The following is a 24,391-nucleotide window of genomic DNA, read 5'->3' as shown; positions in this document are numbered from 1 at the left end:
TCACGCGGTCACACTGTGTGTTCCCCCTGTACGCACTGGCAATCACGCGGTCACACTGTGTGTTCCCCCTGTACGCACTGGCAATCACGCAGCCACACTGTGTGTTCCCCCCGTACGCACTGGCAATCACGCGGTCACACTGTGTGTTCCCCCCGTACGCACTGGCAATCACGCGGTCACACTGTGTGTTCCCCCTGTACGCACTGGCAATCACGCAGCCACACTGTGTGTTCCCCCTGTACGCACTGGCAATCACGCAGCCACACTGTGTGTTCCCCCTGTACGCACTGGCAATCACGTAGTCACACTCTGTGTTCCCCCCGTATGCACAGGCAATCACGTGGTCACACTGTGTGTTCCTTCCGTGTGCCGTGCACACTGGTAATTTGAAGGTCACACTATCATGCCCCATTGGCCCCCACGGCCTCTTGCACAAGTATTGCCTGGAGTCCACAGACATCTCAGGCGTCACCGGGAGCCGACTCTCCTGGGCCTGGTGTTGGATCTGCTCTGTTCCCCGGGGTGTTCCCTGGTGCCAACAACAGTGCCTGTCCGGGGTACTTGGGAGAAGCAATCAGGAAAGCGTTTGGAGACTCTCTGATGTGTCTGTGGACCACGGATGATAAACGGCTTAGAGGAGACAGGCCACACCTCTCAGGTTCCGAGGCCTCAGCAGGGGTATGGGTTTTTACGGCATTTTTCACTAATGGCAAGTGCAAACTCAGTGGATTTTGTCTGAGAAACAAGTATGTTTTCAGCTTGAGAAATACATTTATTTGTACTCTCATTCCAGAAAATAACTGGATGAGACATTATAAATATACGATAATGAAAATCATTTGGTTACCTGTAGAAGCTGAACTAATGTAGCAAGAATAGTAATGGTAAAACATAGCAACTCATCCACCTAAAAATAGACACGCAGATTCATTCTATGAAGTAATTGATCTATCTGAATCAACAGAGGCATAGTATATGGGTATTACACACAGGAGCTCTACAGAGATCTGTAACTACCCCTAAAGTAACGGGACCATCTTTCTACATCACACATGAGAATTATATGTCGGCATTATACAGAGATTTCCAAGTACCCCTAAAGTAATGGGACCATCATTTTATATCACATATGAGTATTATATACAGGCATTATAGGGAGATTTATAACTACTCCCAAAGTAATGAGACCATCTTTCTATATCACATAAGAGTTATTATATACAGGCATTATATGGAGATATCTAACTACCTCTAAAGTAATGAGAACATTTTTCTGTATCATATAGGAGTTATTATATATAGGTGTTATACAGAGATATCTAACTACCCCTAAAATAATGGGACCATCTTTCTATATCACGTAAGAGTTATTATATACAGGCATTATACAGAGATATCTAACCACCTCTAAAGTAACGGGACCATCTTTCTATACCACATTAAATCAGTTCACAGAGACATCAAAGTGACAAACCTTCTATCGATGATTATTTTATGCCCACTTTTGTGTGTTTCTGTTGTCCCTGTAGAATTGTGACTCCCTGGACTCTGAGACTCAGGGGAGGTGCCGGCACCCGAATCTGTCACCTGGGTTGGGGCACAGCAGCCACCTCCTCCTGGTTAATCGAGGCCCCGGAAGAGGCTGCTCCAGGCTTGTCCCTTGGTCAGTTTAAAAACACTAAGTGCCATGTTGTTTGTTGATGTCCAGTTCAAAGCACAGAGCACAAGGACTTCTCAGCAGGTCGCCTTTTGTTAAAGGTTAAAGGTGGCCTTTTGTTAAAGAGGGAGACACAGAGAGAGATTTATCTTTAGGGAATTGGCTTGTGTGACCGTGGAAGCCGGCAGGTCCAAGGTCTGCAGGGTGGACCCTCGGCTGGAGACCCGGGGAAGAGCCAGCACTGCCAGTCTAGTCTGAAGCCGTCGGACGCAGAGTTCCTTCCTGGTGCAGGGTGTTATCTCTGTTCTAGTCAGGCCTTCAACGGATCGGAGGAGACCCACCCACGCTATGCAGGCTCATCTTCTTTCCTCACAGCCCACCCATCCAACGCCTTCCAGAGGCCTCTAGAGTAATGTCCCATCAGACCCGGGCACCGTGGCCCAGCCCAGTGGAGGAATACAGCTAACCACCACACACGCTCAACTCTGAAAATCCTCAGGGATTCCAAATGTTCTTTACTACCAATTTTCTCAAGTGTTTCGGCTGTGTGAAATTTAGCAGAATTGGTCATTGAATCATTGGAAACAAAAAATAAAACCTATTGAGTGACTGTTTGTGAAAATTTACAAAAGCACAGTCAGGCCTCCAGAGCGAGTGCTCCTAACCCGAGCTGGGCCAAAGACACTGTGTGCAGACGTCCCGGAGGGCAGTGCCGAGGACACTGTGAGTGCAGACGTCCCCACGGAGGGCAGTGCCGAGGACATTCTGTGAGTGCAGACGTCCCCACGGAGGGCAGTGCCGAGGACACTGTGAGTGCAGACGTCCCCACGGAGGGCAGTGCCGAGGACACTGTGAGTGCAGACGTCCCCACGGAGGGCAGTGCCGAGGACATTCTGTGAGTGCAGACGTCCCCACGGAGGGCAGTGCCGAGGACACTGTGAGTGCAGACGTCCCCATGGAGGGCAGTGCCGAGGACATTCTGTGAGTGCAGACGTCCCCACGGAGGGCAGTGCCGAGGACACTGTGAGTGCAGACGTCCCCACGGAGGGCAGTGCCGAGGACACTGTGAGTGCAGACGTCCCCACGGAGGGCAGTGCCGAGGACATTCCGTGAGTGCAGACGTCCCCACGGAGGGCAGTGCCGAGGACATTCTGTGAGTGCAGACGTCCCCACGGAGGGCAGTGCCGAGGACACTGTGAGTGCAGACGTCCCCACGGAGGGCAGTGCCGAGGACATTCTGTGAGTGCAGACGTCCCCATTTACGGAGGGCAGTGCCGAGGACACTGTGAGTGCAGACGTCCCCACGGAGGGCAGTGCCGAGGACAGTGTGTGTGCAGACGTCCCCACGGAGGGCAGTGCCGAGGACACTGTGAGTGCAGACGTCCCCATGGACGGGCAGTGCCGAGGACACTGTGAGTGCAGACGTCCCCACGGAGGGCAGTGCCGAGGACAGTGTGTGTGCAGACGTCCCCACGGAGGGCAGTGCCGAGGACACTGTGAGTGCAGACGTCCCCATGGACGGGCAGTGCCGAGGACATTCTGTGAGTGCAGACGTCCCCACAGAGGGCAGTGCCGAGGACAGTGTGTGTGCAGACGTCCCCATTTACAGAGGGCAGTGCCGAGGACACTGTGAGTGCAGACGTCCCCATTTACGGAGGGCAGTGCCGAGGACATTCTGTGAGTGCAGACGTCCCCATGGACGGGCAGTGCCGAGGACAGTGTGTGTGCAGACGTCCCCACGGAGGGCAGTGCCGAGGACACTGTGAGTGCAGACGTCCCCATGGACGGGCAGTGCTGAAGTCCTGATGAGCGAGTCTGAGGGGAACGGTGCCACTGCGGCAGCACCCCCTCGCCCCAGGCCCTCAGATGTGTGAGGGCTGGGAAATCCCCTCTCTCTCTCTGGAAGTGCACAGGGTCCCCTCCCCTAAGGAGTCACCAGGATGCCTCAAAGGGTTCTCTTCCCCTCTCACCCAGCTCCAGCCTTGGGAGTCCTCTCACGCTGGGACCCTCCGTTGCCGGGGCCTGGGACGTGTCTTCCGCCCTCTTGCTGACTGTCTCCCATGCTGTCTGCCACCTCCGCCTTCCCAGGCCCTTCTCAAATGTTAGAACTTCCTGCCTGATCCTTTGATCACTCACTGTGTTTCGCATTCTTTTTTCTCTCAGGAAGAGCTCTGTATGAATCCAGTCTCACATTGCTATAAAGAAATACCCCAGACTGGGTAATTTATAGAGAAAAGAGGTTTAGTTGGCTCACAGTTTTGCAGACTTCACAGGAAGCATGGCAGCTTCTGCTTCTGGGGAGGCCTCGGGAAGCTTCCAATCATGGTGGAAGGCAAAGCAGGAACAGGCGTCTCACAGGGTCAGAGCAGGAGCAAGAGCGAGGTGGGAGCTGCCACACACTTTTAAATGACCAGATCTCATGAGAACGCACTCACTGTCTCGAGGACAGTGCCAAGGGATGGTGCTAGCTCATTCATGAGAATCCACCCTGAGATCCAAGCACCTCCCGCCAGGCCCCACCTCCAACGCTGGGGACTAAGAGTCAACAGGAGATTTTGTGCGGACACGGAGCCAAGCCTTATCAAGCTCCCACACTTAATACTTGGATAATTATTCTCAGCAATCTGTTCTTGTTCCATGAATGCATAGTCCCATCATCTCTTGGAGGGTAGTCATTATATTTTTTGGAAATTATCCGTATTCTCTGATTATTTGTTTCCTCTGGGCTTTTTTGATTTCTTTATTTTGGTTTTTATCTTGACTGCTACCTGTCTGTACTCGTTTAAAAAGGAAGGCTTTGAGTGTTGCTCTACCAAGTAACCCCATACCACCCTCCAACAGAAAACAACCGAAAGTCTGGAAAAAGATGTAAGAAAACATCCTTGAAGATGCGAGAGGGCTGATAGTAAGGAAGGGGCTGCTGAGTCAGAATATGCTGTAGAACAGGGCCCCGGTGGGGAGTGCTCACTCAGGGACAAGCCTCCCCTGGGGCTGTTTCCCAACGGTAGAGCCGCAGAGGCTGAGCATTGGTGAGGGGCTTGGGGCCGAGCCCAGATCCACATGACCCCAGGCTGGTCCGCCCCGTGAACACAGCTCCCCATAAGCCAACTCAGTCTCTGGAACTGGGCCAAGATTACCCCAAAGTTTTAGTAGAATGTGCAGATGCCCTACAGAGCAAATGTTACTTCTTTCTTTCTTCTTATCTCACTTTAGTAAGAAAAATTACCTCTTCGATTTTTCTACTAAAATGGTTGACACTTAATTGATTATAATCAGATACCCAGGAGGAAGGAAGATATCAGCAGAATCTCCTTAGAATAAAAGAAATGAACAGTTTAAGCAGATCCAGTGTAGCTCAGATGGACCAACTATGACCACCGTCATTGGGGCAGCCTGGCCTTGGAGGGTGGCCTGGACACAGAGGTCCCCATGGCATTGGAGGGTGGCCTGGACACAGAGGTCCCCATGGCATTGGAGGGTGGCCTGGACACAGAGGTCCCCAGAGCAGGACAGGAGTTCAGAAGTAAACCCAGGTACATATGGTCAATGGATTTTGAACAAAGGTCCCAAGGAAATTCAGTGGGGAATGAATAATCTTTTTAATAAGTTGCACTGGAACAGTTGAAAACTTGAATTCTGAAAGGAAACTTTGATCATAACCTCACATCATATGTAAAATTAAAATATTAGACAATGAGACATAAACTCATTTTGTTCAAAGATGGCATGATTGTGTTTATAGAAAACCACAAGGAACTTATGGAAAGATTATGAGAATTAATTAATATGTTGAGTAAGTGTGTTAGATACAAGGTAATGAAACAAAAACACAATTTTACATCAGAAACAAACAGAAAATGAAATTGGAAAACTATAAATAGGTAGGAAAAAATCTAAGCAGGATATGTAAGAGCCTTACACAGAAAATTGTGAGATGTTTTTGACAGAAATTAAGTCAATCCTAAACACGCGAGAGCTATACTGTTTTTACATTGAAAGACTCCACTTTAGTCTGTCCACCTCAAGCTGACCAGTAACTCAATGCAACTCCTTTCAAAACTCCAGTAGGTTTTGTTGTGTTTCTGAGAAAATTTCCATCCTTTTCTACAATTTTTGCAGGGAGACCAAGGAGGATGAATTGCACAGCTCGGGAATGAGGCTTACCAAAAAGCTAAACGAATAGGAAAATAGGCCTTGAGAAGATTAAAAAGCGGCCATTTGTATTTTGGGTAAAGAAGAGTTGATGAGAATTTGTTCTTCCCAAGTCTAAAGTAAATGGAGCACCCTTTTTAAAATTCTATTAATGCATTTCACTAAGAAGCATTAACGAGAAGACGATCAGCCGAGGGAAGTGGCCAGGGGATTGTCAGTGCCTCGGTTGGGCTGGTACGACATTTCACAGTTGTGTTTTCTCACACACCTCTTTTCTCAGGAGTGATTCAAAAAGCTGATTTCATCTCTCCACCCTGGAGGTGATAAGATATCACATAGAAATTCACCGTGGAAGGGGAAACAGGAAGAGAATGAGGTTTTTAATGACATGTCAAGCTGTCTGACTTTGCTGCTGAGTGCGTCTTTACTTCTCATGAAATGAATTTGAGGTCCACTAAAAATGGGATGAATATAATCCTCGGAATATTAACATAAGGAGCAGAATATAAATCTCAAAAATGTTTCTGAGGCATAAACAGTTGTTTTATCACAACTGTTTTTGAAGGTAGCTAGACTTATAAGAGATTCTTATATTTAAAGTGCTACATAAGGAAATCCAACTTTAAGCTTAAATTATTTAATTTGGTAGAGTAAAATATACTCCTAATATTGGAGAGAAGGCTAAAATAAAAAATTGTATTTTTTGAAACTCAGGAGACACTGCTGTCTTTAAAGGTTGAATAATTTACATATAATTACACTAGCATGAGCTACCACTTTTACTCCATAATGTAATAGAAATTTTAATGTTTCCATTAAAACAGTCATAAAATACAGTTTTTTAGAAAAAAGGAAACTAAATGTGACCATAAGATAATTTTTCAGGGTCAGCTTTTTTCAGATGTCTTATATTTTATGTTTGTTATAAAAAGGGGCGTCTTTCTCTGAGGCAAATCTATGCAATTTCTGATTCTACATGCTCTGTGTTTAGCATTTTTTGACTTAAAAAAATGACACAATTAGGATAATAATTATGAGCCCAAGCACGTAAATACTTGCCTTTAGAAGACTGATAATTATGAGGTTTTCCACCCAAAATGGATCTAAGGATGATACTTTGGTGTTTATTTGGGTTATATGCCAATTTAGGTACAATGTATAGGTAATCAGCGTGTAGGAAGAACAAGAGCTGGGTCTGGAGTGTGGACTCACCTTTAAAGCACGTTACACATGTGTTCAATATTACATTACACCCTGGTAGAGATGTTAAGTTAATTTATCCTGAGTCTAGAATTTACCACATTATCAACATAGACTATTCTAACACAAGTCTGCATACGGGATGTGCTACTACACGGAGTCAGGGGGCTGGGGGCAGGCTCAGCGTCCCCTCCTGCCACCCTCTGGTAGCACACAAGAAGATCCACCATCTGGGACTCGGCGGGGGGGACCACGGAACAAGGCGGCAGAAGACTGGGGTCTTCACATCCAGCCCGAGGGTCTGTGCCCAGCGGCTACAAGACTAGGATCAGCTCCCAGAGTCAGAGAACGTTGTGGCCACCACACCTGCAGAAGCCTCTTTCATGAGCTTCTCATCCTGTCTGCAGCTGGCGAGCGGGCTCACCTGGACCACACCTGGACCACAGAGCAGGACAGACCCCGTGCAGCTGTGTTCTCACCACGCCGAGATCGCCAGCCTGCCCAGAAAGTCCACAAGGGAATAGGTCAGGGGCCGAGCGCTGACCTGACCCCTGGGAGCCCTGATTCTGGTGTCTCCCAGGGCATGTCCCGCCCAGGTCTCCAGGGGGAAAACAGCAGACACTGAGCAATGTTGAGCAAACCCCAGTGTCATGAACTGGGCTCTGGCTTCCTGAATGCTGCTTCCCATCGACAACCCAGGAAGAAAGCCCTGAGAGCTGAGTGTGCACTGCCCGTCACTCAGGAGGAGGCAGCACAGCCTCAGGAACAGGACTCGGGTGGTGAGTGTGCACCAGCCGTTATTTCTGATGGCTGAGTGTAGATTTATACATGCTATCATTTGTAATATTGTTTGTAATATTCAGGACAGATTGGAGAAAGAGGGTTCCTTTTGCTTTCTTAACACCTTTCTGCCTGTTCGTTTCATATATGATTTAATGATCTGAAAGCATTCTCATTGATTGAAAAAAAAGTACTCATAATATTATTTTGTGCAAGAGTTTCAAGGCAGTTATGGATACAGTCACATGGAGGATACTACATAATTTTTAACGCATTTGTAAAGTTTAAGTTTGGGTGTTGAGCGTGATTCAAGAGCTGCGATTTTTGATGAAAGCTGAGTGCTTGTTAAATAAAACTGAGGAAATTTCCTCTGATTGATGCAAAGTGCCATAAAAGAAAAATGACACAGCATTGAGTCATTGAGTATTAGATAACTTTATTCTCACCAAAAAAGTTTAGAAATAAGCAACTCATAGATGTGAAAGCAGGATTTTTGGACAACAGTCACATGGCCAAGTTTTCAGTGTCAAAGGCCTCTTGCAAACAATTTATAATGCTACTTTCAGTGACTCTTGCAAGGATTGGATTTAGACAAAACTCAGCACTCACTCCTTTCATCCAGGGCCCTGCATTGAGGAGCAGGGAGGCATAGACACGTGGGAATCAGAGTGCAGACGTATTGATCTGGCCGCAATTGATCAAAGTGAAGACGTACTGACCTGGCCGCAGTTGACAACCCCAAATGTGGCGCCATATTCTTTCAAAGAAGATACCATTTGATCGGGGAGGTCTGAGCTCCTTCCTCTGAACGCTGTGTCTTCAGGCCTTGTGTATTCAGAGGAGGGACTCAGACCCAGGATTGGGCAGGGGTTTTGGGGGGTCCTGTGGATGCTGTGAGAGCTGAGCAGCTTCCTCTGCCCTCTGGGAGAGCAGTGGTCTCATAAGACTTCCTTCTGGAGAGGAGCACAGGGTGTCTGGACAGCCACCCACCCCGAGCCCCTGGTCGATAGACTCCAAGAAGAGGAGAATCAATCAATCTATGGAAACTGACCCAGAAACAGAACAGACAATAGAAATAGAAGATACAGACTTTAAAACAGCCATATGGATCGTGTTCCGGATGTTCAGGAAGGAAGAGGGAAGAGAGGACGCATTAAATAGAGCCAGGGAAAATCAGAAAGGCCAAAATCAAAGTTTGAAGATAACAACATCAGTGTCAGAAATAAAAACACAACAAATCTGGTGGGGTGGAGGGTGAGTGAACATTGCAAAAGAAGAAATCGGTTCACTTGAAGACGGCCACAGAGACCCCTCAAACGGAGACAGAGGACCTGTGAGCTGTGGCAAGCTTCACAAAGCCTCATATACTCAAAGTTGATGTCCACAAAGGAGAGTGGATTTGGGGAAAAATAAGAAAATGTGTAGGAAAAAACTGGCCAAAACATCAAAATTTCATAAAAACTATCAACACAGATCCAGGAAGCTCCAGCAACCCCAAGCACAGGAAACATGAAGAAAAGCACGTCAGGGAACATTCTAATGAAATGGCAAAATCTCCTGCTTCGCAGACCCAGCAAAAGGGCACACTGCAGAGAGAAACAGCCAAGAAACCCAGCAAACGGGCAGAGTGGGAGGTCTTAACTAACGAGAGAATACACGGTCAAATTGGAACATTTTTTCAGCAGGTTTATCTTTCCAAAATGAGGGTGCTACGAAGACATTTTCACAAGCAGAAAAGATGACGACATCCATGGCCAGTGTTGGCGGCACGCACTTACGGGGACATCCACCGAATGAAGTCAAGGGCGCCGGGTAAGGAGCTGGCCCTCCAGCAAGGGAAGAGAATATGGGAAATGGCTCCTGCACGCTTCGCAGAAAATACTTCTCATTATTTTCATCTACTTAAAACATACTTGACCTCCTAAAACAAGTTTAGTATCAGCGCATCGTTGGGTTTATAGTACGCATAGAATAAAACGTACGTTGGTAATAGCACTGTGGCTGCGGGCAGACAATGGCAGGGGATCCTTCCCGGGCCTTTCACTGCCGTGAAATGGCACAGCGTTGCTCGGAGGAAGACTGTGGTATGTTAACCATGTGTATCAGAAACCCAAAGCAACCACAAAATTAACACAGCAATGAGTTTAGCTAGTAAGTTACAAAATAAAGTAAAATGTAATGATAAAAATAATTAGCAATTCTAGTGTTAGCTCCAACGCATAAACAGCGTATCCTCTGTCGCTTCCAAACTCACAGGCAGAAGCAGGAAAAAGCTGAGCGGTCAGTGAACAGGCGCAAGTGTACAGTGAGATGGAAGGAATAATACGTTCCAGCCTTCAGGAGCAGGTGAACGGATGCAAACGTATGGTGAGATGGAAGGAATATGTTCCAACCTTCAGGAGCAGGTGAATGGGTGCAAACGTATGGTGAGATAGAAGGAATACGTTGCAGCCTTCAGGAGCATGGTAGGGTGAGTAGAGTTCACAGTAACTTATTGTGTATTTCAGAGAGCTGGAAGAGAAAGTCATGTTCCCAACACAAAGAAATCATGTCTGAAGCGGTGGGCATCCCAGCGACCCTGATTTGAACATCACACATTGCATGCGTGTATGAAAACTTCCCATAAATACGGACAGCGCGCTGGACAGGTGAGCAATACTGCCTGGGCTCTGCAGCTTCTGGCCTGGTGCCTACCTGGCTGTGACAAGCAGGCCAGGACAGGCGTCGCCTCTGACCAGCCCTGCCTGCGACGAAGGCCACCACCCACTCCCCAGGACAACGGAGGTCTCACAGTGTCCACCGCAGCTGTGCCATGGGAACCCTGGGGGTCCCGCAAAAGAATATTGTCAAGAAATACAGTGTGAATTCCTCTGAGAAGCAAATTCTGCTTATGACCAGTGTGTCAATTGTTAGACAAGATTCAAAAAATGCTTGTGAGCAAGTTTTACAAAGCACATTGAGAAGGAGGCTGGTGGGCTGGGCGCAGTGGCTCACACCTGCAATCCCAGCACTGTGGGAGGCCAGGGTGGGTGGATCACTTGAGGTCAGGAGTTCAAGACCAGCCTGGCCAACATGGTGAAACCCCGTCTCTGCTAAAACTAGAAAAATTAGCTGGATATGGTGGAGCATGCCTGTAATCCCAGCCACTCGGGAGGCTGAGGCAGGAGAATCGCTTGAACCCGGGAGGCAGAGGTTGCAGTGAGCCGAGATTACCATAGAGACCCCCAGGCATCAGACGCCACATTAGGAGTGCCCTGGATACCAGTTACTGTGTCCTCCTAGGACGGATGCGATCACCAGCTGCATCCTGGGAACGCCGTGCAGGCTGAGCTTTGACAGAAGCCAAGGTGAGACCCATGCCCTGCACACAGGGACTCCTCTCCAGCACCCACCCTTCCCACACAGCAGAACTTAGGCCCCGCGTGGCCCAGGTAAGCCTGGCTTTGTCCTGCTGCTCTCCTCCAGTAAAGCTGTGGGCCGGGAGGAGGGGATGCTGACCTAGCAACTGCACCTGCTGTGCGTGCCCCGGGAAGCGGTTTCACTGCTGGCTTATCTGTTTAGATTCTGTCCAGCCTCCCTTAGACGAGGCTTTTTGCTCCTCAGGCAGGCAGGGGAGAAGGGAAGGATAGGAAGGTAGTGTCTGTAGGCTGGCTCTGTCCCTATTTTCAACTTTTCCCTGCTTTCTCTTGTTTTTACCCAGAGTCAATCTTGCCCATGTAGAAGCAGGCGGATCAGCAGCAGCTTCGTTCTTTGCATCAGACTTGTCAGTGTCTTTGGTTTTATTTTTTAAAAATACTAGAGAAAGATTGTTTATTCTAAGGCAAACATTTGAAAAGACTGCTTTGTGTAAACTGAGATCAGCTCTATGTATACTTGTATATACCAATGTGCCTGTGTGTATGTGTATGTATTGTGTACATGTGTGTATGTGTGTATACATGTGTGTATACGTGTATGTGTGTATGTGCATGTGCATGTGTGTATATGTGTATGTGTGTATGTGTGTATGCATGTATGTGTGTATATATGTATGTGTGTGTGCGTGTGCATGTGTGTGTATACATGTGTGTATGCATGTATATGTGTATGTGTGTATGAATTTCTCCCCCGACCCCTTTCTAATTTGCTCACAACGTTGCCTTTCCTCCTCTGAGGTTTGGCTGCACCAGGTCTTTGCCCAGCCCTGGGCACGCAGGTGGTTCAGAGTGAGCCTCAGTCCTGGCATCCCAGCTGGTTTTGAGAGCCAGAGTGCCTGCATGGCCTTGGCAGGTTTGCAGAATGAGAAAGGAGGCATGAGTCCAGTTGCGGGAAAATACAAAGCAAGGACCCATGGAAGGTGCGATCTGGAGATGTAGGCCTCAGAGGTGTCAGAGCACGTGGCCGGCAGCTGCAGGTGAAGCTAAAGAAGGCTCTGCCACTCCCGCTCTCAGCCTCACGTCCGAGAGTCTTGGACACAGAGTGTGGGAGCAGCCGACTCTGAAATAAAAGGAACAGGCGGAGGCACTTTGCAAGGTAACTCTCACGGTTATCACTCTGGTTAAAGTTCCAATTCCAACCGTTTCCCATTGTGCAGGGCACCTTCAGCACCTGCAGATGGAATCCAATGATGAGGGCGGGCGGTCAGTCCAGGAGACACTTCCACACTTGCACCACCGCCTCCCCGGGGGGAAATGTTGTCAGGTCGAGCAGATGAGGTGGCGTCAGAGGACCTCAGTGGTGGCAAAGGTCCCTCCTGGACCAGCCTTCCTTCCTTCGGGCTCCTCTGAGCCTCTCCGACACGCCTGGACCTTGACCTTCTGTGTCCACCCTGAGCTTGCTGGGCCTGCCCAGCCTTAGCAAGAATCCTGTGACATCCATTCATCCAGAACACTCCACTCCTGGTGTCTGACCAAATTCCCCATCCTCACTCTTCCTGTCTGATCCCGCTGCCCTGCCCTCAACAAGAAACCTGTGCCTCGACATCTCCTCCTGGTCATTTTCTGTCCCCCAACTGTGCTCATCGGCACAAGTCAGCCGCCTTTGCTCTATTCAGAGTTGAGTGTGACCTTCTCCCCTATCGCAGAGGTACCGAGTGAAGCCTTAGTCACCACCTCAGCAAGAATCAGAATGTGAGGAGAATGGTGGGCCCCTCCCCACCCCATCTCCTTCTGCAACTGCCAGTGGCCAAGAGCCCAGCAGGCAGGGTCGGCTCCAGGTGAAGGAGTGGACCCAGCAGAAGCTGCCAGGAGTTCTGTCCTGAAAGGAGATATTCATTGTTCTCAAGAATCCTTGAGAGACTCAGAAACCAATTGGATAACTTGGGAAATGTCCAGCAGAGTCCCAGCCCCCAGGGGGATGTGTCAGTGCGTGGCGTCGCGGTGCGGTGGCTGTGGTGCCGCGTAAGGGACAGACGCCATAAGCGTGGCCCAGAGCAGGGTCGTGCCGGCTGAGCTGGGCCCCTCCAAAAAGACATGCTGGAGACTGAACCTCCTGGACCTCAGACTGTGACTGTTTGAAGATGGGGTCTTCACAGAGTTCAAATTACAGTGAGTTCATTAGGGTGCACCCTGATCCAGTGCAAATGGGGTCTTCATGGAAAGGGGAAATTTGGGCATAAAGACACGCACAAGGGAAAGACAAGGTGAGGACACGGGGGAAGACGGCCAAGCACAGGCCTCCCTCGCAGCCTTGGAAGGAACAAGCCCTTGGGTGTCTTGGCCTTGGATGTCCAGCCTCAGGAGCTGGGAGATGGGGGTGTCTGTCATCTCAGCCCCCTCGGGAGCTGGGGACGGGGTGTCTGTGGTCTGAGCCACCTTAGGAGCTGGGGACGGGGTGTCTGTGGTCTGAGCCACCTTAGGAGCTGGGGACGGGGGTGTCTGTCATCTGAGCTGCTCCGTCAGTGGTTCATGCAGTGGCTGGCCGTCGAGTACAGGGAGCGCAATCTCGATCTCCGTGATGAGAGGAGGAAGGGCCTCTCATTTGACACTAGGGGACTCAAGGGAATAAGCTGACCTTCTGCTAACCAGGCTTGGGACTAAGCCTTGAGTTGGGAACTGGTCCCAGCTGGGGCAGCAGGGGCGGAGGCTGGGAGAGGCTGAATCCGCCCACGGGTCCTGGGGAGACCCAGAATCCCGGGTGCAAACGTCACTAGCGCCAAACACCCTGCCCTCTTCAAACCCCAGACAGAAGTGTTTTCCATCTCAGGTAAGCCGAGTATAAACATTTCCATCCAGAAAAGTTCAAATACAAATGGACAACACAAATCATTTAAGTAATTGTTACACAGCTACGTGATACTACAGCAATGTGTTTTCAGTATACATAGGATAACTAAAACACTTATTATAATAATCCAAATATATCAAATAATTAACCTTGTAAAATGATATCCAGCATTTCTTAGATAAAGAGCAAAGATGCTTTTAAAAATGTGCATTTTGAAACCATTAGGCAATTCCTAGTACATGTTCAAAAGCCACTTCCACGCACAAAAACACTAAAATATCTAATGCATAATTAAAATATTATTTAAAACAGATAAAAGAAAGTGTAGGTTTTTTTAATGATATGCCAGGCATGGTGGCATGTGCTTGGAGTCCCAGCTACTCAGGAGGCTGAGGTAGGAGGAACCCTAAGGCCAGGAGGTCCAGGCTGCAGTGCGCCGTGACTGACCGTGCCACTACACTCCAGCCTGGGTGACAGAGCAAGATCCTGTCTTTAAAATAAATTACATTACATTAAAAATTAAAAATATGATGCCTTCTACAGAGCTGGCATTTCCATTTCAGCGCAATGTTAAAAATCCCCCACTCAAGAAGTGTCTTGCTGGCCGGGGTCTTCCTTACCCTTTGCATGTGTGAAGGAAGGTCGTGACCCCTGCGCTGCTGGTTACACATCACGGTTGCAAGTGGAAGAGAAATGTCTTTTAATAGAGGTTGCATCTATCCCATTTCCTTTTTTTCTACCCAATGCAAAATAAAAATATTTTAACTTCTCAACATTGGGCACATTCTATAAAATATCTCTCTATAATATTGTATATAACATTTGTATACAAAGTTTAAAAAACCTATTTTGTTATGACACTCATTGGAAGACTCAATGTTTTCATCAAATGTAAAAAGAACTAAGGACATATCTAATTTATAAAAATAAAAATTGCCAAAGAATTTAAAATGCACTTATAAATTAATACGCATTATCACAAAGTTAATATACAGCAAGGGTAGGTTTTGTGAGACCAGCGGACAAGTTATTATATTAATACTTAGAATGGTGTATTCATTTGTTCTCACCCTGCTATAAAGAAATGCCTGAGAGGGGTCATTTATCAAGGAAAGAGGTTTAATTGGCTCACGGTTCTGCAGGCTGTACAGGAAGCCTCGTGCTTCTGCTCGGCCTCTGGGGAGTTCAGGGAACCTTCAGTCCTGGCGAAGGTGAGGGAAGCAGGCTCTTCGGGAGGGAGAGACGGGCTGCGTTAGGAACAAGCGCGTAAGCGTGGCCCAGAGCAGGGTCGTGCCCGCTGAGCTGGGCCCCAACTCAGTTTCAAACGACCAGGTCTCACAATAACTTGCTCACTCAGTGTCACGAGGGCGTCACGGAGGCGACGGTGCGAAGCCATTTGTGGGAACGCCGGCCGTGATCCAATCACCTCCCACCAGGCCCCGCCTTCAACGCTGGAGATTCCACGTCCACGTGGGACGTGGGCAGGGATACGATCCAAACCGTATCAAATGTCAAAGACCTGGTTTAGGTCTGAATTTCAAAACGTCAAACTAAAGCCCAAAGCCACTGGCAGAGGAGCGTTTACTTTCCCTTTTAGGGTTTTACAGCTTGGCGATTTCATACTTCATCTTCCTTCCCCTGATTGATGCTGAATACAGGGGGAACGGAATGTGTCCCCTCAAAACCCACGTGTTGAAGCCCTAACCCCAACGTGATGGGATTAGGAGTGGAGCCTCTGTGGGGTGATTATAGGATGAGAAAGAGGCCGGAGCTGTCTCTCTCCCTGCCATGTGAGGACACACGGAGAAGGGGGCCATCCTCAAGCCACAGAGAGAGACCAAACGTGGCACCTGCCAGCCCTGGCCCTTCCAGCCTCCGGACTCTGAGGGATGAATTCCTGTCAGATAAGCCACAGTCTAGGGGATTTTGTTACAGCATCTGAAGCTAATACAGGGCGACTCTGGTCACTTGAGTGCCAAGGTTGCCTCTGTGGAAAACATTTCAGAGTTTATTTACTAACCTTGCCCAGCAGTGCCAGATTACGTCTTGATGTGTATAAATAGCTGGACAGGGATGACAGATGGACAGAGGTGGGTGGCTAAATGGGTGGGTAGAAGAACAGAGTGACAGATGCATGGATGGATGGATGGATGGATGGGTGGATGGATGGATGGTGGATGGATGGATGGATGGATGGATGGATGGTGGATGGATGGATGGATGGATGGTGGATGGTGGTGGATGGATGGATGGATGGATGGTGGATGGTGGTGGATGGATGGTGGATGGATGGATGGATGGATGGGTGGATGGATGGTGGATGGATCATGGATGGATGGATGGTGGATGGATGGATGGTGGATAGATGGATGGTGGATGGATGGTGGATGGATGGATGGATGGATGGATGGTGGATGGATGGATGGATGGTGGGTGGATGGTGGATGGATGGATGGATGGATGGATGGATGGATGGTGGATGGATGGTGGATGGATGGGGATGGATGGTGGATGGATGCATGGATGGTGGATGGATGGTGGTGGATGGATGCATGGATGGTGGATGGATGCATGGATGGTGGATGGATGGTGGATGGTGGATGGATGGATGGATGCATGGATGGTGGATGGATGCATGGATGGTGGATGGATGCATGGATGGTGGATGATGGATGGATGGGTGGATGATGGATGGATGGGTGGATGGATGGATGATGGATGGATGGATGGATGCATGGATGGATGGATGGATGGATGATGGATGGATGGTGGATGGTGGATGGATGGATAATGGATGGATGGTGGATGGATGGATGGTGGATGGTGGATGGATGGATGGATGGATGCATGGATGCATGGATGGTGGATGGATGGTGGATGGATGCATGGATGATGGATGGATGGATGAATGGATGGTGGGTGGATGGATGGTGGATGGATGGATGGATGGATGGTGGATGGTGGATGATGGATGGATGGATGAATGGATGGTGGATGGATGGATGGATAATGGATGGTGGATGGATGGATGGTGGATGGTGGATGATTGATGGATGGATGGTGGATGGTGGATGATGGATGGATGGATGGATGGATGCATGGATGGATGGATGGATGGATGGATGGATGGATGGTGGATGGATGGATGGATGCATGGATGGATGGATGGATGGATGGATGGATGGATGGTGGATGGATGGATGGTGGATGGTGGATGATGGATGGATGGATGAATGGATGGTGGGTGGATGGATGGATGGATGGATGGATGGGTAGTTTAGAGAGAGGTGAGTGGAGAGAAGGACAGATGAATAGATGGAGAAGGAAGTTTAGACAAATTCAGAGGTGAGAAATGGTGAACTAGGTCACAAGGTATGGCACTTTCTCCACTGCAGCAGAGCTGAGTCGGACATAGGTCTCACCTCCCTCTGCGCCAGCTGGTGTCAGGTTCACCAGGTGGGTGCAGCGGAGCCTGTGGAGAGGAAAGGGTGTGTCCAGGGCTGCTCTTCTGTGAAGGGAACCAGTTTCTCAACAAAGGCCCAGCCTCCGCTGAGCTCTCAGGGTTTCAGGGGACCTGCTCTTTTGTGGCCCTTGGTCCCACGCCCCGGGAGTGTCAGTGTCCTGCCGCCAGCCCCATCTGGTCCTAAATTTAGGGATTCTGATGAGTTAATGCCACATACCTTGGCCACAATTCAGCATTTCTGATAATTAATTAGTTAAATTAATAAAAATGATAGTTTTTTCCTAGACTTAACATGTATGTCCAGTGATTACATTGGCACCATATGAAAATAGCTTAATAAATGATTAACTTAAATAAATAGTAACTCACTTGAAATGCCTGATTTCTTTCTGCAAAAACAGAAATTGCTTTTTCTGAAATCCTTGGCTCCTACATTTAGCAAATCTTTCCAGGACTTCCCTACTCTTTCTTTGGAAATGTGAAAAACGCATAACATGTATTTTATCATCTGCCTCGAGGACCCAGGGAGGAACATTTCAAGAAATTAAAAATAAGAGAAACATGCATAAAACAAAAAACCGCCAACTTGGCTTAAAAAATGACGAAAAGCCACATAAAGCACACTTCTTTACTATTACCCAAATAATGACAATAATAAAAATGATAATAACAACAATAAATGGTGGTTAAATGCGTTACGGACGCACGCCGCGCCAGGCTGCGCAGCTCGGGGTTTACGGTGCAGATTGCCACATTATACACACGACGAACCTGGGATCCATGAAAACAATCCCAAGAGCACCTTAGCACATCATTTTCCAGACTCATTTGGCCAAAGAGACATTCAGAAATATCCATTACCGTGTGCCATAAGCCTGGGGTGGCCAGAGCTGCGGGGGCTGAGAAACAAGAGGCCCCTCCTGCCTCGCCTTAGAGAGAGAGGACACTCACCCTGGCTGTGCTGGGGAGGCCACGTCCCCGACTGACTCGACACCAGCTTCCATGTCCCAGAACCGCCCATGGGCTCTGACCCTCTGACACCACTCCCTCTCCACGCATGGACCCCAGACTCTCATGCACAACCTGAAGACCCCATCCCTGGCACAATCATAGTTCCTCTTGCAAATGCAAACATCAGGTTGTTTGCTTCATTCACGGGAGCTGGTCTCTGCAAATGGGAGCTGTGAAGCGCTGGCCTCCAGTTTCTCGCGGGACTGAGCCACAGAAGACACGGGCTGCTCCTGCGGTCTCCCCGGTGTGTCCCGGGCACCTGCTGCCTCCGTTCTCTGCGGCTTGGTGCTCTGACGCCTGGGGTGGCGCCTGCCCCTCCTCTGGGTGGGTTTCCTTCCCCAACGTTCATGCACAGAATGTTTTCAGCAGTCACAGACCTTCCGAGACGTGGCTGGATGAGAAACACGCCGGCGGACGACAGAGGGTGGCCCCGGACCCACGCTTATGCCCACCCGTCTTCATTCCATAGAGAACACGACCTTTCTGGAGCACCTGGGGCGAACCCACATCTTCCCTGACAAGGCGTAGAACAGGAGCCACCAACCTTCTGGAAAGTTCTCAGCACCAGGAGCTGCAGCCCAGGGCCTGAAAACCTGTTTCCTAATGAAATGACAGAGGAGTTCAGAACTCTCTGATCCACCTGCAAAAGCAGGTCTCTCCTCATTGACAGCAGTGGCCTCAGCACCCAGCGCAGCCTGGCTGTTCCGGGGACCACACCCAGCGGTCAGGAACTGCATCTTCCTGACCCCCTATATTCAGCATCAATCCGGATCTCCAAGTACACCCAACGCCACCGACTGGATCTCCAAGTACACCCAACGCCATCGACTGGATCTCCGAGTACAATGAATGCCATCAACTGGATCTCTGAGTACACCCAACACCACCGACTGGATCTCCGAGTACACCCAACGCCACCGACTGGATCTCCGAGTACACCCAACGCCATCGACCGGATCTCCGAGTACACCCAACACAGCAACTGGATCTCCGAGTACACCCAACGCAGTGACTGGATCTCCGAGTACTCTGAAAGGACTTGATTGGCACTCTGCCTGTGCACATGTCATGATACGTGAAGAATATCTTGAGAACGCGGCTTTTAAAACCGCACCTGACCATGTGGAGATGCTGGTGTTGGGTGGAGGAGGAGCCCTGAGCCAGGGAGCGGCTCCTCAGTAGGCACGTGGGGAACACGCCCTCCCAAGCACCAGAACCACACAAGGCTGCACCGAGACCGGGGTGCGAGACCCTGTGCCAGGCGAGTGCCTGGTTTCCACAAACGCAGAGCAGAGCGTCCCCACGCCTCGGCAGTCTCCTTGCTGAGGGTGCTTCTTCCCTACTGGAGGAGGGAATCCCGCTTCCCCGATGGGACCGCCTTCGCCCAGGGAGCTCCTGGGAGGAGTCCGTCCCGAGTTATCCTGACCCTCTCCTCCTGCCATTGATGTGTGTGGTGATCGGAGCATGAGGCAATGCTGTAGCAGGGCAGGCTGCCTTCCGGGGTAAAGGAAGGTAACCTGGTCTCCCGGGCAGCTGGGCAGCTCGCGTTCCCTTTCCCACATCTTTTAAAGTGAATCAAAGAGAAACAAAGTAATCTTTCAGTCATTTTCTTCCAGACCGCAAGAACAAGAAATAATGTTTGAAAAATGGAAGGGAGCATGTGATCTCTATTCTCACTAAGCAGAACTTCATGGAAATACTGTTCATCGCATAACGATGGATCTTCACTTGCTTATCATTGGATTTTGCCTTGTGTCTCCACTTATTAACTACACAGGCTCAGCAAGTTTTCAGTCTTTATAAAATTGTGCTAACCGTGGGTTGCTGTCATCTTTGGTAACTTTGGAGAAAGGTCTTACTGCGTGTTCTCACCTTTCTGAAGAGCCCTCATGGGGTCCAGCCCATGAGGCGTCCCAACAGGAAAGGGGGTTTGCAGTGAGCCCTGGTTCCACCACAGCTGTTAGAGAGAGTTTGTGCCCCATGCCCAGCTCCCAAAATCCACTTCATCCCCGGAACAGTGCAAGGATAGGAGGTGTGGGGGTGGGTGGGGTCAGAGTCCACCCCCCCGCTCCTGTCCACCCGGATCCCGGTCAGTCATTCTGGGTTCTTTATGGCCTTCAGGGCCATTCCCACTGCTTGACAGCTGCCTTGGGTCTCAGATAAATGTGTCTTTCTTTCCTTTGCCTAACAGCTGCGGCTTTATCTAGCCAGCATATTTATGGAGCATCAATCATGAATGTAAAAGGTGGACAGCTTTGACTGTACATATGGTTGTAGAATATTGGAGAAGAGAGAAAGTCAGCCAATAGGAATTATTGACAGGACTGCACACATAATTTGCAGCTTTCACAAAATATCAATTAAGCCACATGATGGTTTCATCCCTGGGCAGAGACGAAAGCCCGGCAGGTGAGCAGGAGCGAGACAGAGCACCACGGGCCACGTGAGGCCAGGGCACCGCCTGTGAGCAGGAGAGAGACAGAGAACCACGGGGCACGTGAGGCCGGGGCACTGCCCATGAGCAGCAGAGAGACAGAGAACCACGGGGCACGTGAGGCCAGGGCATCGCCCGTGAGCAGGAGAGAGACAGAGAACCACGGGGCACGTGAGGCCGGGGCACTGCCCATGAGCAGGAGCGAGACAGAGCACCACGGGGCACGTGAGGCCAGGGCACCGCCTGTGAGCAGGAGAGAGACAGAGAACCACGGGGCACGTGAGGCCGGGGCACTGCCCATGAGCAGGAGAGAGACAGAGAACCACGGGGCACGTGAGGCCGGGGCACTTCCTGTGAGCAGGAGAGAGACAGAGAACCACGGGGCACGTGAGGCCGGGGCACTGCCCATGAGCAGGAGCGAGACAGAGAACCACGGGGCACGTGAGGCCGGGGCACTTCCTGTGAGCAGGAGAGAGACAGAGAACCACGGGGCACGTGAGGCCGGGGCACCGCCCGTGAGCAGGAGTGAGACAGAGAACCACGAGGCACGTGAGGCCAGGGCATCGCCCGTGAGCAGGAGTGAGACAGAGAACCACGAAGCATATGAGGCCGGGGCACCACCCGTGAAGTCACAGTCACACGTCAGCTGGTGGCACCCAAAGTGTGCAGAGGATGCCACACCCTCAGAGCCTCTTTCTGAGTCGTCCCCTCTGGGAAATCTTTAAAACAAACTGAGCCTGGCACAGCAGGAGAGCTACAATACGTTAAATTTTGGATACAGATCCAGCTACTACAAAAAAAGGAATTTTTTTCTTCAACTTCCTTAGGCAGCATCTAAAGAATCAAAATCAGATTCACCTGTTAGGCTGACAAAAAAAAAAATTGTAAGTGAAAATAGCCAGACACAAAACGTGCATGTGTGTGCACGTGTGCACGTGTGTGTGTGTGTGTCTATACACATACACACGTGTAGACTTCTGATGGAAACTAAGGCTGTGCAGGCAGAAGTGACTGGATAAAGTTTTATTGGAAGCTGAACATGGGGATCCACTTGGGAAGACGCCCACAGAACTGAGCATGTTCTGGGGTCGGCTACTAGGTGGAAGACTTTCTGGAAAAGTTTAGGAGAAGGGAGGGGACTCCTCACAACAGAGGCATCCTTCTCATGGGGGGACAGGTTGGAGGGCACAGCCAGTGCACACAGATCATACCGTGAGGGCTAAAACGTCTCCATGCAAGGCAATCAGAAAGCTTCATGATTCCGAAACAAACCAGCAAAGCTTCGTGATTCAGAAGCAAGTCAGCAGAATGTCATGACACAGAATCAGATCAACATTTCACGGTTCAGAAACAAATCGGCATCCTTTCAGTGTCAGTGGGTGCCGATCAGTGCGTCAACAGCCGGAGAAGCTGATGGTGAGATTCTCCACTCAGGGGCAGGGTGTGCCCACGAGTCACAGACGTCTCCAAAGCCAGTTAATTTGGAAGCAGGTTTATGTTTAAACTGCCAAATGTGACCTAAAGGTTACCAAGACCCCCTCTCTCCTCTCTGTCTCTCTCTCTCTCACACACACACACACACACACGCCATCTTACATACTCTATGATTCCACTTATAAGATTTTGTCACCCCAGGCTTGGGCCTGAGTCCCTCGACCCTTTCTGCGATCTCCCCGATGCCTCGCACTTGGCCATCGGGATTCACTGACTTTACCTAAAGAGAAGCCGCCCCTGAGCAGCCCCCTGACCCGGCATTTTCCAGCTGGCTCGGTGCATCTCAGCGTGAGACCCACACGTGGGGCGCCTGTGAGGACTGCAGAGGGGGACACAGGTCCCATCCACCCCAAGGCTGCCCCAAAGCATCTCATGTCATTGTTATGTTTTATGTATGGGGCACTCTGGTAGAAATTCTGTACTGGAAAACTATCTCCCCACTAAAACCAAACAAACAGGCAGCTTTCGGGGGCCTTCGTAACGCCTCCTACCTCACCTCCTAATGCCTCTCCTCACCAGGTTTCTGGTCTCCCGGAGCAACCTGCAAACCATCAGTCCTCAGCCTCCTCCTCACTGATGCCCCAGGCCCACAGGCTCTGGGGTTAGGACAGTGCCTGCTGCCTAGCGCTGGTCTGGGAGATGCCCTGGCCAGGGGGCAGGAGCCGCACGGGAGGGCTGAGGGCCGGGAAGTGCCGTGGGGCGGGGAGCATGGATGTCAGCAGGATGATTTTTGACACTTTATTTACACAGATGTCTCGATTGTACCATTAGATGAGTTTGTCAAGTTCCCCTGTAAACAACACCCCAAATAAGATATGAAATATTTCCAGCTCCTACAGTTTCCCCAAGCCCACCCACGCCAGGGCCCTCCCGGCTCCTCCCACAGCCACAGCGCTGAGTACCTGTGCAAGAAAGTCCTGCTTCTCCCGGATCAGATGGCACGGGATAGCCTGGCACACAGGCAGCCTGCGGGGCTGGCACGGACGCTTCTGTCCGGTGTTTTTGCTCGAAGTATCTTTTGAGATTCATCCACTAGATTGTGGACGCCAGAAGTTCATGCATTTTCATTGCCCAGTGGCCTTCCATGTGTGGTTAGACACACTTTCTTTAACTGTTTCCTGTTGAGGAATGCTGGACAATTCCAGGTGTGGCCTGTTACTGTGAGTGACCCCGCCCAGGACTGTGGACAATTCCAGGTGTGGGCTGTTACTGTGAGCGACCCCGCCCAGGACTGTGGACAATTCCAGGTGTGGGCTGTTACTATGAGTGACCCCGCCCAGGACTGTGGACAATTCCAGGTGTGGGCTGTTACAGTTAAAGCCCCTTTGAGAGACCCTGTCCAGGACTATTTGTGGAAGACATTTACATTTTGCTGGGCACAGGGCAGGTGTACATATAGTTGTGGGGGACCTGCCATGCTATGGTCAAAGTGCCTGTGCCTGTGCACCTCCTCCCCGCCGGCGACGTGAATATTCCAGATGTTCCAGACCCTCCCGGCACAGGGTGGGGCCAGGATCTTCACATCCAGTTATTTCAACGTGCGTCACACAGCATCCCATTATGATGAATGTGCATTTCCTGATGGCCGAGGATACTGAGTGCTTTCAATTTGCTTATTGGTCATTCTTGTATCACCTTTTGTCTAATGTCTGTCTTGTCTGTTTTTTTAAAAAGGTATATTTATTGATTTGTAAAGGAAGGACCTTTATATTTTGATATATGTCTTTCAGATTTTATATGTATGCAAATATTTTATTACAATTTGTTTCTTTTTGTTTTTTAATGGTGTTTTTATTTAAAGCAGCAGAATTGGTAGCTAACAGAATAGTCCCTATGAGTAACATGAAGGGCAAACGTCACATCACCATGTTAACAGACTCGGGAAGTGTATCTGAAGAAGTCCAACCTCCATTCATGAATAACAATTTTCAGCAGACTTCTCTGGGGGCCTTCCTCCACCTGTGGGAGTCGTACATCCAGAAGCCGAGTGAGCTGG

General features: G+C 49.7%; 2 long non-coding RNA genes across 2 annotated transcripts in view, besides 6 other annotated features; both read right to left on the bottom strand.

Annotated features, from left to right (window-relative positions):
- Positions 1-24,391, bottom strand: part of LINC01237 (long intergenic non-protein coding RNA 1237) — a 197,360-nt gene that overhangs the window by 71,958 nt on the left and 101,011 nt on the right. The gene's annotated exons all lie outside the window — the stretch shown is intronic.
- Positions 752-5,556, bottom strand: LOC285097 (uncharacterized FLJ38379). Its single transcript, NR_149023.1, has one exon. It is a non-coding gene; the product is annotated as an uncharacterized FLJ38379 (long non-coding RNA).
- Positions 1,301-1,922: an enhancer, noted in NCBI's record as "NANOG-H3K4me1 hESC enhancer chr2:242946994-242947615 (GRCh37/hg19 assembly coordinates)". NCBI's record gives its function as "activates a minimal SCP1, AML or CMV promoter by ChIP-STARR-seq in naive H9 embryonic stem cells {active_cell/tissue: H9 hESC(naive)}" and the evidence as "EXISTENCE:reporter gene assay evidence [ECO:0000049][PMID:30033119]".
- Positions 18,792-18,961: an enhancer, noted in NCBI's record as "experimental_58198 CRE fragment used in MPRA reporter constructs". NCBI's record gives its function as "activates a minimal promoter by MPRAs in K562 erythroleukemia cells, with activity observed for the non-introgressed 2:242930040 variant allele {active_cell/tissue: K562}" and the evidence as "EXISTENCE:reporter gene assay evidence [ECO:0000049][PMID:34662402]".
- Positions 18,792-19,001: a biological region, named in NCBI's record as "Neanderthal introgressed variant-containing enhancers experimental_58196 and experimental_58198".
- Positions 18,832-19,001: an enhancer, noted in NCBI's record as "experimental_58196 CRE fragment used in MPRA reporter constructs". NCBI's record gives its function as "activates a minimal promoter by MPRAs in K562 erythroleukemia cells, with activity observed for the introgressed 2:242930000 or rs117441917 variant allele {active_cell/tissue: K562}" and the evidence as "EXISTENCE:reporter gene assay evidence [ECO:0000049][PMID:34662402]".
- Position 18,916: a transcriptional cis regulatory region, noted in NCBI's record as "Neanderthal adaptively introgressed variant 2:242930000 (GRCh37/hg19 assembly coordinates) or rs117441917 in the experimental_58196 CRE". NCBI's record gives its function as "modulates activity of the experimental_58196 enhancer by MPRAs in K562 erythroleukemia cells {active_cell/tissue: K562}" and the evidence as "EXISTENCE:reporter gene assay evidence [ECO:0000049][PMID:34662402]".
- Positions 21,223-21,759: an enhancer, noted in NCBI's record as "H3K4me1 hESC enhancer chr2:242927157-242927693 (GRCh37/hg19 assembly coordinates)". NCBI's record gives its function as "activates a minimal SCP1, AML or CMV promoter by ChIP-STARR-seq in naive H9 embryonic stem cells {active_cell/tissue: H9 hESC(naive)}" and the evidence as "EXISTENCE:reporter gene assay evidence [ECO:0000049][PMID:30033119]".

This window comes from Homo sapiens, chromosome 2, assembly GCF_000001405.40.
Source record: "Homo sapiens chromosome 2, GRCh38.p14 Primary Assembly".
Lineage (NCBI taxonomy): Eukaryota > Metazoa > Chordata > Mammalia > Primates > Hominidae > Homo > Homo sapiens.
Note: the sequence above shows the minus strand (reverse complement) of the source record. Positions and strands in the feature narration are given on the sequence as shown.